The sequence below is a fragment of the Homo sapiens genome, chromosome 17 (assembly GCF_000001405.40).
Source record: "Homo sapiens chromosome 17, GRCh38.p14 Primary Assembly".
NCBI classification, from domain to species: Eukaryota; Metazoa; Chordata; class Mammalia; order Primates; family Hominidae; genus Homo; species Homo sapiens.
In genome coordinates this window covers 13,548,334-13,566,846 of record NC_000017.11, presented here as the reverse complement: position 1 = coordinate 13,566,846, position 18,513 = coordinate 13,548,334, and the positions used below count along the sequence as shown (strand labels likewise).

Genomic DNA, 18,513 nt, shown 5'->3' with positions numbered 1-18,513 from the left:
TTTTAAACCCCATGAACTAGACTCTGCTAACTTCACACTTTTTTTTTCTGCAACTTCCTCACCTTCTCAGCCTTCATAAAATATGAGAGAGTTAGGGCCTTGCTCTGGATTAGGCTTTGGCTTAAGGGGATGTTGTGGCTGGTTTGATCTTCTGTCCAGATCAGTGATAAGGCTGTTTCACTTTCTTATCATTTGTGTGTTCACTGGAGTAGCACGTTTGTTTCCTTTAAGAACTTTTCCTCTGCATTTACAACTTGGCTAACTGTTGCAGGAGGCCTAGCTTTCAGCCTGTCTCAGCTTTCAACATGCCTTCCTCACTAAGTTTAATCATTTCTGGCTTTTGATTTAAAGTGAGGGAGGTGCAACTCTTCCTTTCCCTTGAACATTTATAACGTTGTAGGGATATTAAATGACCTAATTTCAATATTGTTGTGTCTCAGGTAATAGGGAGGCTGAGGAGGAGAGAAATGGGGGATAGCTGGTCTGTGGAGCAGTCAGTACACACACATTTATCAATAAAATTCCTTGTCTTCTATGGGCGTGGTTTGAGGCACCTCAAAACAATTACAATAGTAACATCAAAGACCACCAATCACAGATCACCATAACAGATACAATAGTCATGAAAAAGTGAAATATTGAGAAAAATACCAAAATGTGACACAGAGACACAGCATGTGAGCATGCTATTGGAAAAATGACCCCGATAGACTTACTTGATACAGGGTTGCTGCAAACCTTCAATTTTTAAAAAATGCAATATCTGCAATGCACAGTAAACCAGAGCTCAATAAGGCAAGGTATGCCTGTAATAACTAAAAGATAAATGATAAACTTACTGAACAGCAGAGGAAAACAGCTGAAAAACGTTAACAATGAAAAGATTTGAGAAACTTCTTAAAGAGATAAAAAGATGGAACTGTAAAAGGGTGGTTTACACACTCGGAGTATAGACTTACTAGGTCCAAAATGCATTTAATAAAACTTCCAGAGGACAGAACGTGGAGAACTTTCAGATAAACAAAGAGAGAAGTAACTACACAAAACCTTTACTGAAACTACTAAATGACATGCTTTAGCAAGAAAGACTGAATCCAGAAGGAAAACAAGATGTACTAAAAGCAAGGGTGAGCCGAGAAGATGGTAAACACACTCATCCATCCAAACGAGCTGTGACTATAAAATTAATAAAAGTAATATGTTGCTTGGATTAACAGCAGTTTTACCAATGGTAAAATTAGAATGAGAGAAAGGTGAAGTGGAGGGCAGTGTTAAAGCATTTTATTTTTTATTTTACTTACTTATTTATTTTTTTGAGACAGGGTCTCACTCTGTAGCCCAGGCTGGAGTGCAGTGGCACGATCACAGCTCACTGCAGCCTTGACCTCCCAGGCTCAAGTGATCCTCCTTCCTCAGCCTCTGGAGTAGCTGGGACTACAGGTGCAAGCCACCATGCCGAGCTAATTTTTGTATTTTTTGTAGAGATGGGGATTCACTATGTTGCCCAAGCTTGTCTCGAACTCCTGGGTGATCTGCCTGCCTTGGCCTCCCAAGGTGCTGGGATTATAGGCAGGGGCAACTGCGCCTGGCCTCAAGCTTTTTAAACCCTTGCATTGATAGAGAAGGATTGCAATAGTAATTTGAGGTTTTCTTAAATTAGCTACCATGCAAAAATTGAAATGTAACCACTGAAATAATAATTTCTAAACTGGAAAGGGATTCAATAAAATAAACTTGACTACTCCAATAAAAGAAAAGAAAAAAACAAACAGACATAGTACATAGAAAGCATCAAATAAGATGATAGAAAACAAGTCCAAATTTCATCCAGGCACGATGGCTCATGTCTGTAATCCCAGCACTTTGGGAGGCCAAAGCAGGCAGATCACTTGAGGTCAGGAGTTTGCGACCAGCCTGGCCAACTTGGCAGAACCCCGTCTCTACTAAAAATACAAAAATTAGCCGGGTGGTGGCATGCACCTGTAATCCCAGCTACTTGAGAGATTGAGGCATAAGAATCATTTGAACTCGGGAGGTGGAAGTTGCAGTGAGCTGCGATCGCACCACTGCACTCGAGCCTGGGTGACAGAGTGAGACTCTGTCTCTTAAAAAAAAAAAAAAAAAAAAGGAAAGAAGTCCAAATTTCTAAGCACAGGGGACATTCCACATCTGTGGGTTCTACATTCAGGGATTCAACCAATCTCCAGCCCCCGCTCCCACAAAACAATACAATAATAAAAAGTAATACAAATTCTAAAAAATATGGTCTAAGAGCTGTTTACGTAGCATTTCCATTCTGTTAGGTATTACAAGTAATCTAGAGAAGATTTAAATGTATACAGGAGGATGTGTGTAGGTTATATGCAAATACCATGCCATTTTATATAAGGAACTTGAGCATCCATGGATTTTGGTATCCTTAGGGGGTACTGGAACCAATCCTTTGTGGATACCAAGGGACAACTGTAATCAAAATAAATTTAAATGGATTAAAATCAAATACTAAAGGAGTCTCAGATTGGATAATTTACTCAGAAAAAATAAATCTCTGCCAAAAAGCATCTGAACCTTTTGAGAAAATCCCTACTGCCTTTAATATTCCTCAGGATATTTCACTTCTGTTATTTTCTGCATCAAGGGGTAAAAATGCATGTTGCTGAGCATTGGCAAAAGGAAGTTCAGAGTACAGAAAAAATATCATTAACACATGTCATGAGGTGCTGCTGATGGAGGCAGAATTGCTTTCCTGGATTAACAGTAAAAACTTCCTAAAACCCATCTAATCTCTTTAGCTTCCTGAAGAGCAATGGTAATTCAGCTTTGTGGTCCACAAGACGAGTCCAAATGTTTTATTGTGCAATCGTAGATTGGCCCATTTATTCAATAATAATTAATAAGAAATTAATTTTTCTTGATAATTAAGAAAAACTAGTGCCTGGCACCGGTGCTCATAGTTGCAATTTTGTGATCTTTAAGTTGTCCTTTCACAGTTAATTAATAGCATTTAAAAAGTACAGAAACGTGTATCAGGAAAGGAAGGAGCTGCAACCGCATACTCCAGGGACAAATACCCATTGCCAGAAAGAGAGACAGCAGCCTTCAGTTCTGTGTTGGGGACTTGTGCGTGTCCTTTGAAAAGGCTGTTTCCTGAGGCTTTGCTCAACTATGACCCTCTGAACTCCATTGACTTAGTGATTCCCAGAGTTAGAGAGTGTCAGAGCTAAAAGAACCTCTGGATTTCTGTGAAGCTGCTCTAGAGATGAGGACAACTTACATGCTCCCTCTCTGCCCCCCACACTGGGGTCAACACTTTAGACTAGTAGCTGGACATATCTGACATTTTCTTAGTTTGCTTACATCCTCACAAAATGCCTACATACATCCTGCTCCAATTCCCTTGGCCCCAGCTGGCATAGGTCCTCCTGCAGAATGACTTGAGTGAAATAAATGCAACATTGGTAGCAAACAACCCACAGACCCTCCAGGTAACTGAAAGAGCCCAGAATATGTTGTCCCTTCTGCAGCAGGAAGCTCCCTCCTAAATCCCTTCATTCCCTTTATACCCCAACTTCAGTTTCTTTCCATACCCTGACCAACCTAAATTGATGATGTGGTTCTACCCTTTGCTGCGGTTCTGGCGAACATTTCAGAGGCTCATCACTGTCCCTTTTTCCAAATGGGGTCTAGGTATCCCTGGAGAAGGCAGGGCTGGGAAGGTTAGATAAAGTGATTCTCTTCTCCCTGCTTCCCATTTGCAGCATACAAGATAACAGGTATGTATTTTTCCCACTTATCGTGGACCTTCAAGAATCTATGGAATCTTGTTTAGGGCCCCTTTACGTCTGACTCAATTTCTTTACCCCAATGAAATGAGCAAACAGCTGGCTTTTCAGGCTCTGTATCGGGTCCTGACACACAATCCCCTTGTAAAAGAAGCTAGGGCCTTCCAGGCAACAAAAGTTAGGCAGAAAAATCGTCTTTTTATTAACTCAAATACTGTCCTGTCATAGTAAATATAAGATGGTTTACGGTCACAGGGCACATCGACTGGCTTCATAAACGCTGGCTCCTGGAGCTCAGCTGGGTGCCTTGATATTTGACTCTGGATGGAGTTTGGCCCAGTGGAAACGTTTGCCCGTGATTTCCATCAATGTAGAAAAACAGGACTTAGAGCTCATAAATTCTCTGCCTGGCCAGGGTTGGGGATGGGAGTTCTATTGTAGAGCCTGGGGGAAGGGCTGAAGCTTGAGGGTGGAGGATGTTAAAGGACTTCCATCAGGATACTGTTTCTTCAGTTTTTGAATCTGTCTTTCACGGTGGACATTTTTATAGGGCCATTCAATCCCAGGATGTAATGGAGATCAGAGCGGGTGTGAGGGGGCTGCAATGTCAGGAATTGGATAGGGTTACTTTCCCCCCCACCCGCTGTCCCTCGTGTGTGCCCGAGCAGCCACACTGGTGACAGGATGTGAAATGTTCGCAGAATAGACGAGGCTGTCTGTCTGTCCACGGCACACACGTCTGTCCCTGCCTCTTGCAGAATGAGCGATCCTGGACTCCTCCAGACCATGACTGTGTCTGACTCATCTCCTGGCATGTGATGGAAGCTCAGTCCACTCTTGCAGGCTGCGGCTCCTTTTTCCTAGAGACAGAGCCAAAGTTACTGCTTGCCTATTCCAAAAAGACAGGGTGGTCATGGCCATGGGGAGAAGGGAAAGAAGAGGGAGGTATATCCGTTATTTATTCACATAGTCAGGTATTGTAACCTGTCACAAACGCTGGTCTTTGCTTGAGAATTCAACCGTTTATAAGGGACATGGGCGGCGTGACTTTGTCAATTACAGGTTTCTTCCCCAGCTAAGCTCCTGGGCCCAGTGACAGCCCACACCACTGAGAGCTTCATCTGAGGAAGCCGCCTTCAGCACCACACAGATCCGTACCCTACACTCTCTTTTTGCCCTTTGTCTGTCCTCTTTGTACCCCTGGGATCCGGACATTGGCACTGGCACAATTCACAGCTCTGTCATTTTGCGCTTGTGTGAGTGAAGTGCCTGCAGTTGGGTGTGGCGTCCATCTCCTGCTGGAATCCCGCAGTGTCTCCAGCCTGGTGGGAGGTCTGACACATTGTGGACAATGCATTTAAGAATGGTCTGGTGGCTAGGTCCAGTGGCTCACCCCTGTAATCCCAGCACTTTGGGAGGCCAAGGTGGTTGGATCACGAGGTCAGGAGTTCGAGACCAGCCTGGCCAACATGGCGAAACCCCGTCACTACTAAAATTACAAAAATTAGCAGGGCATGGTAATAGGTGCCTGTAATCCCAAATCCCAGCTCCTTGGGAGGCTGAGGCAGGAGAATCGCTTAAACCCAGGAGGAGGAGGTTGCAGTGAGTCAAGATTACGCCACTGTACTCTAGCCTGGGCGACAGAGCAAGGTTCTGTCTCCAAAAAAAAAAAAAAAGAATGATCTGGTATCTCAGGGTGAATGCTCGAATGCTCACAAGAAAATCAGGAGCAGAGGGAAGGAAAAATGCAGTGCAGTGTCACTTCCTAAGGCAAGAGACTTAGGTAGGGGTGGACAAGAATACACAGCCATACCCAAAGTCCAAACTTCCTTTCCTCTAGGGCAATGGGTCTCAATTCTGGCTGCTTGTTAGAATCTCCTGGGAGCTTGTAAATACCAGCATCCTTGTTCTGTCCCCAGTGATTTCTACTTTTATTGGTCTGAGGTAGGCTCCAAGGCATCTCTGCATCTTTTAAAAGCTCCCAAGATGACTCTAACATCCATCGAGGAATGGAGGCCTCTGGCTGAGATGTGTTACAAACAGAAATGAGGGAGATGGAAGCAATGTGTTTCTGGTCTCTTACTGGATCTTCTGTGCCCACCTCTCCCATAGGCTACATGGTGTCAGGATCTGTGCTTTGCTGTACAGTATTGCTGGAACTTAAGTTTGAATTTTACCAACCTTCCTTCTGTAAACTTCAGGAATGTCACTTTAATTTCCCACACTTTGCTTCCCCTGTCTTTTACAAGAAGAAAACATTTTAATAAGTTTTCCTGAGGTACTAAGTACTTCAGTTCCAAACCAGATTCTCTATCAGGCACCTGTGTTGAAATTGCACTTTGATCAAAATGGAATTGCAATAGTTAATTATTTAGAGATATTTACTCATGATTTTTAGTAATGGAGCTATATTGTTAGTCAGCTCACTTTACCATAGGCATAATCAGCAGGGTATCCAGACTAAAAGAAACTCTATATTCCAAACCAAAAATCCAGACACACGCTGTAATAAAATTTGTTTTCCTCCATGTTAAATATCCTGAGTATGATGATTGTATTATGATTACTTAGGAGAATGTTTTTGTTTGTAGGTAATACACGTGGAAGTATTTGAGGTGAGATGTCATGATGTTTAACTCTGTTACAGTTCAGAAAGAATATATAGAGTTACACACACACAGAGAAGCAAAGGTGGCAGGAAAAAAGAAATGGTGACTCCAGTTGAAGAGTATGTAGGTAATACACTTTTTTTTTTTTTTTTTTTTTTTTTTTTTTGGAGACGAGTGTCCCTCTGTTGCCCAGGCTGGAGTATAGTGGCGCTGTCTCGGCTCACTGCAACCTCCACCTCTCGGGTTCAAGCGATTCTCCTGCCTCAGCCTCGCGAGTAGCTGGCATTACAGGCATGTGCCACCATACCTGGCTAATTTTTGTATTTTTAGTAGAGATGGGGTTTCACCATGTTGGCCAGGCTGGTCTTGAACTCCTGACCTCAGGTGATCTGCCTGCCTCGGCCTCCCAAAGTGCTGTGATTACAGGCGTGAACCACCACGCCCGGCCAATACACTCTTACTATTGTACCTTTCCTGTAACTTTGAAAATTTTCAAAATATAAATTTAGAGGATCAAAGAATTGTTAAGAAAACAAGATGGGCCTTTTGCAAAAAAACCAAAACCAAACTTGCTGCTTGAAAAATAAATATTAATTGTACAACCTAAGCAAAAAATAAAATAAAATAAAATAAAATAAAAATGTGTATTTACACATTGCCCCTCAGTCTCCTCAGTTGCCTTAGGGATAGCCTGTGCTTCCATCCTGTACCTGGAATGTGAAGAAGAAAGTGCTGTTCACTGAATTTGGTAGGAACATGTTCATTTCCATTTCTAGAGTTTTCTAAGGGGAAGGATACTTTAAAGATAATCAATTGCCTAAGACCTTAATAATAAATAAATTAGCCAATAATAAATTAAACATATAATACAAGATCAAACTTTTATAATATATAATATAAATAAAATTATATCATAAAATATAAGATTATATCTAATATGTAATTAATGTAATATGTTATATAATTAAATTTTATATAGAACATTAAAATATATGTATGTAATTGAATATATATTCACATGTAATAAAAACATTATATTTTCAAAAATATTTTTACTTTTAGGTGTAAGAAGAGTGTAGAAGTAGAGTTTGGACACATAAATGTCTGAATTTCTAGATGCTTGAAGAGGTGTGTCCATTAATACGAAATTACCTTTTCCAGATTTGCCTTGGGTGGTAGCCCCCAGCTGAGGTGCTAAGAGACTGGAGTAAAACAAAGCATCTCCACCCAGTCTCTTTTTTTGTTGTCATAATAATACTAACAGTTAATATTAGTTGAATACTCATATGTGCCAGGCTCCAGGCTGATTGGTATTCATTGTTTTACACAACAGTGTTCCAGATTTGTATTCCTTGTTTTACATAATTGTTACAATTTCCCCATGAGGTAGGTATTATTATTAGCCTTTGTACAAGGGCATAGCTGAGATTCAGACAGGCATTGTAACTTACTGAAGGCCACATCACTGCTAAGTGGTAGAGTCAGAATCTGAGCACAGAGCAGTATTATTCCTGAGCTCAAGCCTTAAACCATTGTAATCTACCACCTGGCCTTTTATTATTACTTTTCAGTAGCATTGTGGTTTTTTTCTTCAAGGGCTATTTTTTACACTGGCATTTCGTAAACATTTTTGTGACAATTTTTTAGACTTCCGTGTTTAGCTTATTTGATGATGCAACTCTGCAGTCTCTAATCTCTTCATTATTCAGTTCTTTAAAAAGCATGTACAATATATTAAGTCTGCAAATGGTACAGTTAACTTCTCACATGCCAGATTTGATATTTTGCCATGTTTGTTTGTTTCAGACATAGCTACAGATAGATAGAGATCGTTTTAAAGAAAATAAAACTGGAATAGTTACAGGCAGATGTGCCTGTGTCAGATTCCACCCTCTGCCTTCCTTCGCTCGAGATAATCATCTTTTTTAACATTTTTATCATTTGCTTTCTTACTTTGAATTTTTTATTACTTACATATAGCATAGATCACTACTGTTTTTGTTTTTAAATTGTATAATTGATCTTTGAAATTTTTATTTTATCTATGTATTATTGAAGTACATAGTACTTTATATATATTATAAATAATACCATATGTATATAGTAGAAAGTAATGTTTTCAACATTTACAATTTTTTGCACATCCAATTTTTGTTTGTTTGTTTTAGAGACAGTGTCTCACTATGTTGTCCAGTCTGGTGTGCAATGGTTATTCACAGGCACAACTGCAGTGCACCAAGTCTCTAACTCCTGGGCTCAAGGGATTCTCCTATCTCAGCCTCCCAAGCAGCAAGGAGCTACAGGCTCGAGCCTCTATGCCTGGCTTTTCCATTTTTTTCTTAAATCTTGTCCTATAAATGAAATCTTGGTGGACTATAGCTTTCCTGAGTCATACATATTTTCCCTCAGATTTCTGCGGAATCTGCTCCCAGGTCTTATGGTATTTAATGGTGTTAAGTAAAGGCCTTAGACCACTTCTTTTATCTTGCTTTTAGGTAACTTACAGGATTCTGTCTTTATTCCTAAAATTCAAAACGTTTACCAGGACACAGCAAATGCTTGTCCCTTTTCAGCAATTTTGTTAACGATGAACATTTTTTCTCTGAGGATTCCAGGTCTTGAGATCTTTTTCCAAAACATTCAATGACCTACATTGTGGAGCTTCATTCTCTGATCTCAACCTGTCTGCTCCTCTTCCTGTTCCCATATCTGAGTAGCTTTTCTCTGCAGCTTGAGAGGAGATGGCTTCAAGCTTGGCCTCCACAATGATACTTAACCTTTCTACTTTTGTATTTTCAGTTTCTTTGAATGAGTTCACCTGTCCTTTTTTCCTGCTCACCTCTTAAGTAGCTGCTTCTTAACCTGTCTTTATTCTTACTATTCTTTATTCTTAGTATTTCCAATTTCATCTCTGTTTGATGAAGTCCATATTTACATTTAGTGAGAGTATTGGACAGGTATCACTTAATTCTTACCTTGGGTTTTTTTGTTGTTGTTGTTACAAATCTTCTTTTTTCTTCCCTCTGAAAGGTGCCTTTGTTGTCTCTTTCTCTTTAGAGGTTGTCTTTTTCTTTTAATTTTGTAACTTCTCTTTCTGATGTCTGTTGACTCATGCTTAAATGTTCAAGGGTTTTACTCAGGCCTTTAATTTGCTCAAAAAGTAGAGTGTGTGATTCGCCTCAGATAAACAGGAGGTCTAGCTGATGAAAAATCCATTCTTATTAAGTGATTCAGCAACTGTGAAGAGGGGAAAAGAGGCGGAATCGCAGGGCATCCATTAAGGAAACATTTCTGGGCCTTCGTCCGACCCGTGCTCATTTTTATGAATCTGCTGGGCTAGATGTTTGCTTTGTATGTATCCTTTTGTTTGTTGGAAGTTTGTTGTTCTCATTTGTTTTAATTTGGGTGAGCTAAGCCATCTCTGTGGCTATACAATTTGACTGTGTCGAACCTATTGCCTATTCTGGTACCTGCTCTTTCAGGGAATCTGTTCGCTGTCCTGAGGATATTCTGCTGGGTGCAAGTATGTGCAAGCATGGCTGCCATTGAGTTTCTGAGTGCATTTCTGTTTATGCTGATTTCATCTTGCTTTTTTTTTTTTTTTTAGGCGGAGTTTCGCTCTTTCGCCCAGGCTGGAGTGCAGTGGCGCGATCTCTGCTCCCTGCAACCTCTGCCTTCCGGTTTCAAGCGATTCTCTTGCCTCAGCCTCCCGAGTAGCTGAGGCTACAGGTGCCTGTCACCACGCCTGACTAATTTTTGTATTTTTAGTAGAGACAGGGTTTCACCATGTTGGCCAGGCTGGTCTCGAACTCCTGACCTCGTGATCCGCCTGACTCGGCCTCCCAAAGTGCTGGGATTACAGGCATGAGCCACCATGACCGGCCTCACCTTGCTTTCTTTTTATTTTTTATCTATTTATTTTATTTTCTTTTATTTTATTTCTTTTTTGAGACAAAGTCTCGCTCTGTCGCCTAGGCTGGAGTGCAGTGGCACAGTCTCGGCTCACTGCAAGCTCCGCCTCCCGGGTTCACACCATTCCCCTGCCTCAGCCTCCCGAGTAGCTGGGACTACAGGTGCCCGCCACCAGGCCCCACTGATTTTTTGTATTTTTAGTAGAGACGGGGTTTCACCATGTTAGCCAGGGTGGTCTGCCCTGTCCTGACCTCGTGATCTGCCCGCCCCGGCCTCCCAAAGTGCTGGGATTACAGATGTGAGCCACCGCGCCCGGCCGGCTTTGCCTTGCTTTCTAATTCTCCCCAAATCTAGGGAGATTGAAGTCCTTCTGGTGTAGCCCCTCATCACATCACATACTGTTTTCGGGAAGGTATTATATCTGTGCAACATGGCCCTAGGTGTCATCCTTTAACTTGATTCCTCAAAGCTGAATGTGGATGCCACCCTTCACTAGGGCTCAGTACTGAAGAAGGGCTTCCCAGATTTTTCTTCTTCTTAGGTCATTTTGCATAAGATTGGGAGAAAGACAAGAGAAGGAGGAAATCTAACGAAACCAAAGGTATCTTTTATTTCATAATTCGTGCCTTTGCTTTTATGCTTAGAAAACAGTTCTTCAGGAATGACTTCATCTGTTTTCAAGTTCTTATATGTAATATAATATACTCTCAGACACATTTAACTCAACACATCTGGGGTTGACTTTTGCATGTGGTTTGAGGTGCTGCTGGAGCTTCATTTCTTATCTCAAGTAGTTAAATGATTGTCTCAGCACCTTCTGTTAATTATAAACATCTTTTGCATTTTTATTATTTTATGAAAAAATGACATATTTGTGCATGTAGAGAAATCATGTTGTGTTTGGGTGTTAGGTCTAAAACTCCACGTGTAAGTAAGCTCTTAATACAGTCTAACATCGACTTGAGAAACTCTTTAATCAAGTCTAGGATGGTTTTGAGGCAAGATGCTTCCACTCTAAGGGGCCCTCAGGGATCTGGGGACCTTGGAGAAGACAGGTGAGTCTCAGCCCCATTTCTGTTTTCTAGGACACAGGCTCCTAGTTGAACACCAGGCTAAATTGCCTGCATCATTTCAGTTGTGCTGTGTCTCCCCATTGCCAAGTTGAATCTGTGTAAGTGAAATGGGTTTAATGTTGAATGCGACACCCCTTTATACAAAAGTAGATTACATTTCTTCCTCCACCTGTTCCATTCCCATACTGCTTGAAACACGGTAGGTTTATAAAAACAAGGGTTTGCGAAAGACTTCCTGGAGTGGAATGGAGGGAGGATGAACTCCAGGCAGAAAAGGCCCACCCAGCGGGAGGCATAAGGGTGTAATCTGTGCTCAGGAAGCCATAAGTGTTTTTGTTCAGCAGAAATGGGGGTCACCGCTGGGGAGTAGTGGGTGAGAACACCGACGAGGTAGGTAGCGTGGGACACCATTGGTGAAAATGGTGAATTCTAGACTGAAATGTCTGTGAGTTATTTGCAAATCAGGCACGTGCTGCTGAATGAGGTTAAGTGACATTATTCTCAGGGGGCTTGAGGAATACTAATTTGGCACACCAGGACATAGGGTGGAATAGAGTTAGGGGGCAGTCTGCCTGTGGGGAGATAATTTATGGGGATATTACCATCGTTTAGTTTCAAGATAATAAGGTACTAGACTTGTTGGGGGTGGAGGGTATGGTGGAGGAAGGTGGTATCTGTTAAATCCTCAGGGATGGCATCTTATCCCAACCCTGCAGGTTTTGAAAATCTGGATGAACATTTCCTCTTCGTGCTTGAAAGACAAAACCTTTGCTTTATCTCTCTTTCAAAAGGAGGCTGAGCATGCTTCGAACTAGATTGCCTTGGTAGGTCTGGGGACTTAACAGTTCCAAAGTCAGCACCCCTCAACAAGAAAGGCAATAATCAGCTGCGCACCCCTCAGGGGTTTGCACTGAGCTGCCTTGAGCACATAGCCTACAAGGCATCACAGAGATATCAGCACCGCACAGGGCCTAGCGGCTGTCAGATGTCAGCTCTGGTAATGACTGTATCTTGTAAAACTTTGTGAATTTCCCATTCCCCTTGTGAGCACTTTTATTTCTCATTTATATTTTTTAATAAGCTTGATACATTATACATTGCTCATTTGCTACTAAAATTGGAACCAGTAGAGCAATAACTGGCAATTACCTCCTGAGCGCTGTGAATTTTCCTGCTACTTTTCTGGAATCCGTGGAAGGCTCAGAGCTACTCAAACCACCAGGTTTTGGCCTTAGGCTTTGCAACTGGACCAGTAGTCTTGCCAAGCCTCTGCCTAGAACACAGACTAGCCACTCAATAGAAACTCTCAGAAAAAAGGTACAATCGAATGTCTTGCTTATGAGGCAGGAAGTTTTCAAAAATGCTCTTTTTCCTTCTGAATCTGTGACTTTTTTTGAGTCTCTGGCCCTCATGCTTCCTGGTGATGATATCAGTGGCATCACTCCCTTACCTTTGTGTCTAATTTTCCTTGCAGACTCCTGTCTAGAGTTTTTATAGGACAATTATTAGATCGTCTATTGCTCTATAGCTCCTATCTGTAAGCAGTATCAGTGGAATAAAATTCCTCCTGGATGTTATTTTAAGGGAAGTTTAATTAAGATGTGGATAGTTAGGTCAGGGGCCTACTTACAGATTTCAAAGGAAGTACCTGAGAGGGGAGAATGTGTGAGAGAAGGGGATTAGGGATGATGAGCTTAAAAAAAGGTATTTTGATAAACTAGTATTATTTCACATGTCTAGAAAGAACTCTAGGAGTTGCCAGAAAAGAGTAAGTTAGCTGGCTAGGGGCATCTCAGAAGAAAAGCTTTTAAAACAAGGGATGATGTGGACAGGTGTTTGATTGGTAAGGAATCAAATCGAAGACATTCAGGGGATTTGAACTGCTGTTCAGAATTTGAGATATGGATTTTTTATTTAGAATGTAATCTAATCTGGACAGGTCTTGAGGACCCCAACAAAATCAAGGGTAGAGAAGATCTTAGTTGTTTCAACTAAGAGAGAAGGCACAGTATCCTCATCAAAGAGGTCTGTAATGATGCTGTTATTTAAAGCTGCCAGTGCAATGATGGCTTCTGGCTTAAACCATTGGTGAATGCAGCCACAAGACCCACTCCTTTCTGCAAGCAGCTTCTCTCACACAAGGTATGTCATGGCGGTCTTCATGGCCAACCCCAATGCTGCACCTGCTGGGGCATCAGCGCTTCCTGTCCTGTGAACTTACAGAACACCTCTCCTCAACCCAGCACTGTCATAGCTGAAGGGAGGAATGACTCCAGCTCTCTACTTAGCCATAGAGACACAGTGAAATCATTTGTTACTGGGATCCTGTATTTTGTTTGCACCCTTTAGCCAAAGCAATTCTTGTAGTCTCTGCCCCATGAAAAACATTGTAGACTCTGCCCCATGAAAAACAAAAGAAGCTTTAACTAACATGGTCCTAGAAAGACCAGGAAGCCTTAGACCCAGGGGACTAGAATTCCAAATGGCACTACAGGCAACTTTTCTAGGCAGTCAATTATAATTCTCCTTCTTGCTTAAAGGGGAGGACTGTAAGTCTACCAGAGAGGGAAGAAGTTCTTGACTTGATTTATTCAAGGCTCCAATAATGTGCATGCAATGGAAAATGTGAAAAGTGGGAATCACTTTTCTCCAGTATACCACATCCATTTCCACTTCTCAAGCACAAGGGCAGCTGATCATGCTGAATTGGGAAAGGTCTTAGCTGTGCCTTTCTTTGTCTTAATTTACATTTGAAAAAGTTCTCCAGCCTTGCCTAAAACAGTTAATCATTTTGGGTTCAGCACTGTTCCTCCAACCAGTAGGCAGAGTTCTGGAGAAAGACGTATTTCTGTATACATGGGGATTCTCTTTATAAGTAAACTTAGAAATGAGGTGACAGAGCCAAAGCCAGCCACCTAAGATGAGGCAGAAACGGCCTCCTCTGAATCCCCCTTTGACGTTGCCCTTGAGAATGCTTCCTTGGGGAAGCTGTATTGATCAACACTGGAATCGTATTTTGCCCTGCCATGCCTGGTGCTTAGGTTATCAGTATTGTGGTCAGCCAAGGGAAAATTAAAGTGTTCAAGAACCGGCCAGGTGCGGTGGCTCACGCCTGTGATCCCAGCACTTTAGGAGGCCGAGGCGGGTGGATCACGAGGTCAGGAGTTCGAGACCAGTCTGGCCAACATAGTGAAACCCTGTCTCTACTAAAAATACACAAAAAATTAGCAGGGTGTGGTGGTGTGTGCCTGTAATCTCAGCTACTCAGGAGGCTGAGGCAGGAGAATCATGTGAACCTGGGAGGCGGAGGTTGCGGTGAGCCAAGATCGTGCCACTGCACTCCAGCCTGGGCGACAGAACGAGACTCTGTCTCAAAAAATAAAAATAAAAAAATAAAGTGTTCAAGAACCAAATACAGCAATTGCCAGTCACACAGCAATAAAATCAGGTGTAAATCAAATCAGTAAGTGCCCATCAGTGTCCTGTGCAGGTGGGAATAGAAAGAGGATTCAGACAGGGTTCCTATTTTTACAAAGCATGCAGCTTAGTTAGATAGAGTAGACTCAGATCTGAAGCGTTAGCTAGTAATCCTCAAGTTAAATTATATAAGAAAAAACATACAAGAGGAAGAGGAAATGCCACAAGGAAATACCAAATGCGTGGAAAACAAATCATTATGGTCAAGTTGCACACAGGAGGTCATTGGACCTTAACTAATAAGGATTTGATATGATCAGGAAGATGATCAAGAATGAAATTCTAGGAATGGGAAGCTGTTTGAGGACAAGCATGAAGAAGTAAGTGAATACAATTTATTCAAAATAACGTAAAAATACCCCCCCCCCTTTTTTTTTTCTTGGAATGAAATTTATTTAAGCAGGGAAAATCGTTTAGAGCCAAAAGTGAAGAACTCTGGCTGGGCAGTTTTGAGATATCTAGTAACCCCTTCTGAACAGGACAGTGATATGGCCACAGTGGTGGGACTGTTTATCTATCAATTGCTGTGTGAGTGTTGGAAACCTCTGTCAGCTGGGTATGGCTGCTGTAGCAAGTAAATGGTGATCCTGTATTTATTTTTATATTTATTTATTTATTTATTTATTTATTTATTTATTTATTTATTGAGATGGAGTCTCTCCGTGTCGCCAGGCTGGAGTGCAGTGGCCCGATCTCAGCTCACTGCAACCTCTGCCTCCCAGGTTCAAGCGATTCTCCTGCCTCAGCCTCCCAAGTAGCTGGCATTACAGACACACACAACCACGCCCACCTAATTTTTTTGCATTTTTAATAGAGACGGGGTTTCATCTTGTTGGCCAGGATGGTCTCGATCTCCTGACCTCGTGATTATTGGTATTTTACTCGTTATAGATTTTTTTGAATTGATTTCATTTTTTTTTTTTTTTTGAGACAGAGTCTCGCTCTGTCGCCCAGGCTGGAGTGCAGTGACGCGATCTCGGCTCACTGCAAGCTTCGCCTCCCGGGTTCATGCCATTCTCCTGCCTCAGCCTCCCCAGTAGCTGGGGCTACAGGCACCTGCCACCATGCCCGGCTAATTTTTGTATTTTTCGTAGAGACGGGGTTTCACTCTGCTAGCCAGGATGGTCTCGATCTTCGGACATCGAGATCTGCCCGCCTTGGCCTCCCAAAGTGCTGGGATTACAGGCGTGAGCCACTGCGCCGGGCCTGATTTGAATTTTTAAAAAATATCGCATCTTGTTTATCTTTATATCTGTTTTGTTGTTGTTGTTGTTGTTGTTGTTGTTTTGGTGTTTGCCTTCCATTTTGCACCTAAAGCAAGTAAGTACCGCATTTGTCTTATCCTAATCTCGGTCCTGAATATATCTTCAAATTTTAGTGTCTACATAACAAAGTTTATTTTTCACTCATAAAACTGACAATGCAGGCGTTCTTGGTCAGGTGACTCAGCTCCAAGTGGTGATTCAGGGACCCAGGCTCCTCACACAGCACATGCTTCTAAGATCGCTCAGGGGCTCAGCTCCATTCCAGCAGCCAGAACCAGAAAAGAACATGGGGGGCGTGTGTGGAGGGAGGTTTCCAAAGACCAGACTAAGAAGCAATGCACGTCATCTCTACTGTAATTTCCTTGGCCAGAGGTCATTCACACCTTATGCCATACTGGAAGGGAGGTTGGCAAATGAGGTGTAGCTGTGTTCTCAGGAAGAAGAGGGAATAGGCTGGGTGAACAGCCAGTGAACCTTTCTGTCATGAGTCCTGAAAAGAAAATTTAAACTAAAGTCATTCAAAATTTAGTCCATGCACTCTAAAAAATTAAAACAAAACAAAACAAAACAAAATGATTACTACTACTAAACGGATTCAGTTATCACATAAACTTGTATATGCTGTGTGGTGTTGCATATACAACATTTAGCAAATTCACAATGCATGCTAGTGTTTTAAGGCTCTGAGAATAAATGAGACAAGTTTATTTAAATTTAGCCTTATATTCCCCCAATATCTATATGACCATGGAACCTTCTTTCCATAGAATATTTATCAGTATCCTGTCAGCACTTTGGAGATAGTGGGTCTACAGGAAAGGAAAGTTTATCAATAAGAAATGAATCAAGGTTCCTCAGGGTACAATAACTAATTCAGTTATGAGAATTGGCAACTCTTTATGGCGAACTAAAATAAACTAGTTTCGTGACTTTTCCCAATAATTTTCTTAGACGCTAAAAGGAACAAAGCACGTGGCTGAAGAGCTTCCTGTGTGACAGTCGGCATGGAACCATGTTAAGTCTGTATGGGGGTTTAGGGGGCTTGGCTAGGTGATGTCCAATAGTCCAGTGCTGGAGCCCAGTAGAGTGGGGAGCAACCACCATCAGAAGAGGATGAGTGGACTTAGTGCTTTGGAAGTCATCAGTGTTCAGGAAAGTGCCCTGAGGTCAGAGGATTGTCGAACAGCGGTGGAACAAAGGAATGCGGCAAGAGGAAATTTTTACACAGAAGGAAGGAAGAGAGCTCAGAGGCTGAGCAGTGCAATGCAATAACAACTATGAGCCTTTGTGGGTAGATGACATTGTGTCCCGAATTTATTCCTTCCGGTGGGTTCTTGGTCTTGCTGACTTCAAGAATGAAGCTGTGGACTCTCACAGTGAGTGTTACAGTTCTTAAAGATGGTGTGTCCAGAGTTTGTTCCTTCGGATGTTCAGATGTGTCTGCAGTTTCTTCTTTCCAGTGGGTTGGTGGTCTTGCTGATTTCAGGAGTGAAGCCGCAGACCTTCGCAGTGAGGGTTACAGCTCTTAAAGCCAGCGTGTCCGGAGTTGTTTGTTCCTCCCAGTGGGTTCGTGATCTTGCTGACTTCAGGAATGAAGCTGCAGACCCTTGTGGTGAGTGTTATAGCTCATAAAGGTAGTGCGGACCCAAAGCGTGAGCAACAGCAAGATTTATTGTGAAAAGCAAAAGAACAAAGCTTCCACAGTGTGGCAAGGGACCGGAGCAGATCGCTGCTGCGGGCTCGGGTGGCCAGTTTTTAGTTCTTATTTGGCTCTGCCCATGTCCTGCTGATTGGTCCATTTTACAGAGCACTGATTGGTCCATTTTACAGAGTGCTGATTGGTGTGTTTTTACAGAGTGCTGATTGGTGCATTTACAAACCTTTAGGTAGACACAGAGCGCTGATTGGTGCATTTTTTACAGAGTGCTGATTGGTGTGTTTATAAACCTTTAGCTAGACACAAGAACGCTGATTGGTGCGTTTTTACAGAGTGATGATTGGTGCGTTTGAAAACCTTTAGCTAGACAGAGTGCTGATTGGTGTGTTTACAATCCTTTAGCTAGACAGAAAAGTTCTCCAAGTCCCCGCCCGACCCAGAAGCCCAGTCAGCTTCACCTCTCAACATGTGGAGTGGAGACTGCCAGTGAAGTCTAAGAATATGGTAGACTGGGGGATAGGATTAGAGACGGTTTGTTAATCTGAACACTATCTAAGATATTAAGACACATGGTGGATATAATGGACTAAACATGTTCCTGCAAAATTCATACATTGAAGCCCTTATCTTCCATGGGGTGGTATTGGTATAGATAGCACTTTCAGTAGATAATCAGGCTTAAGTGAGAGGATGAGAGTAGAGATGCTATGACGGGATTAGTGCCCTTATTAAAAGAAG

General features: G+C 42.1%; 1 protein-coding gene across 1 annotated transcript in view, besides 1 other annotated feature; it reads left to right on the top strand.

The window, feature by feature from the left end:
- Positions 1 to 18,513, top strand: part of HS3ST3A1 (heparan sulfate-glucosamine 3-sulfotransferase 3A1) — a 107,898-nt gene that overhangs the window by 35,083 nt on the left and 54,302 nt on the right. The window lies entirely within an intron of this gene.
- Positions 9,968 to 10,483: an enhancer, noted in NCBI's record as "H3K27ac-H3K4me1 hESC enhancer chr17:13459681-13460196 (GRCh37/hg19 assembly coordinates)". NCBI's record gives its function as "activates a minimal SCP1, AML or CMV promoter by ChIP-STARR-seq in naive H9 embryonic stem cells {active_cell/tissue: H9 hESC(naive)}" and the evidence as "EXISTENCE:reporter gene assay evidence [ECO:0000049][PMID:30033119]".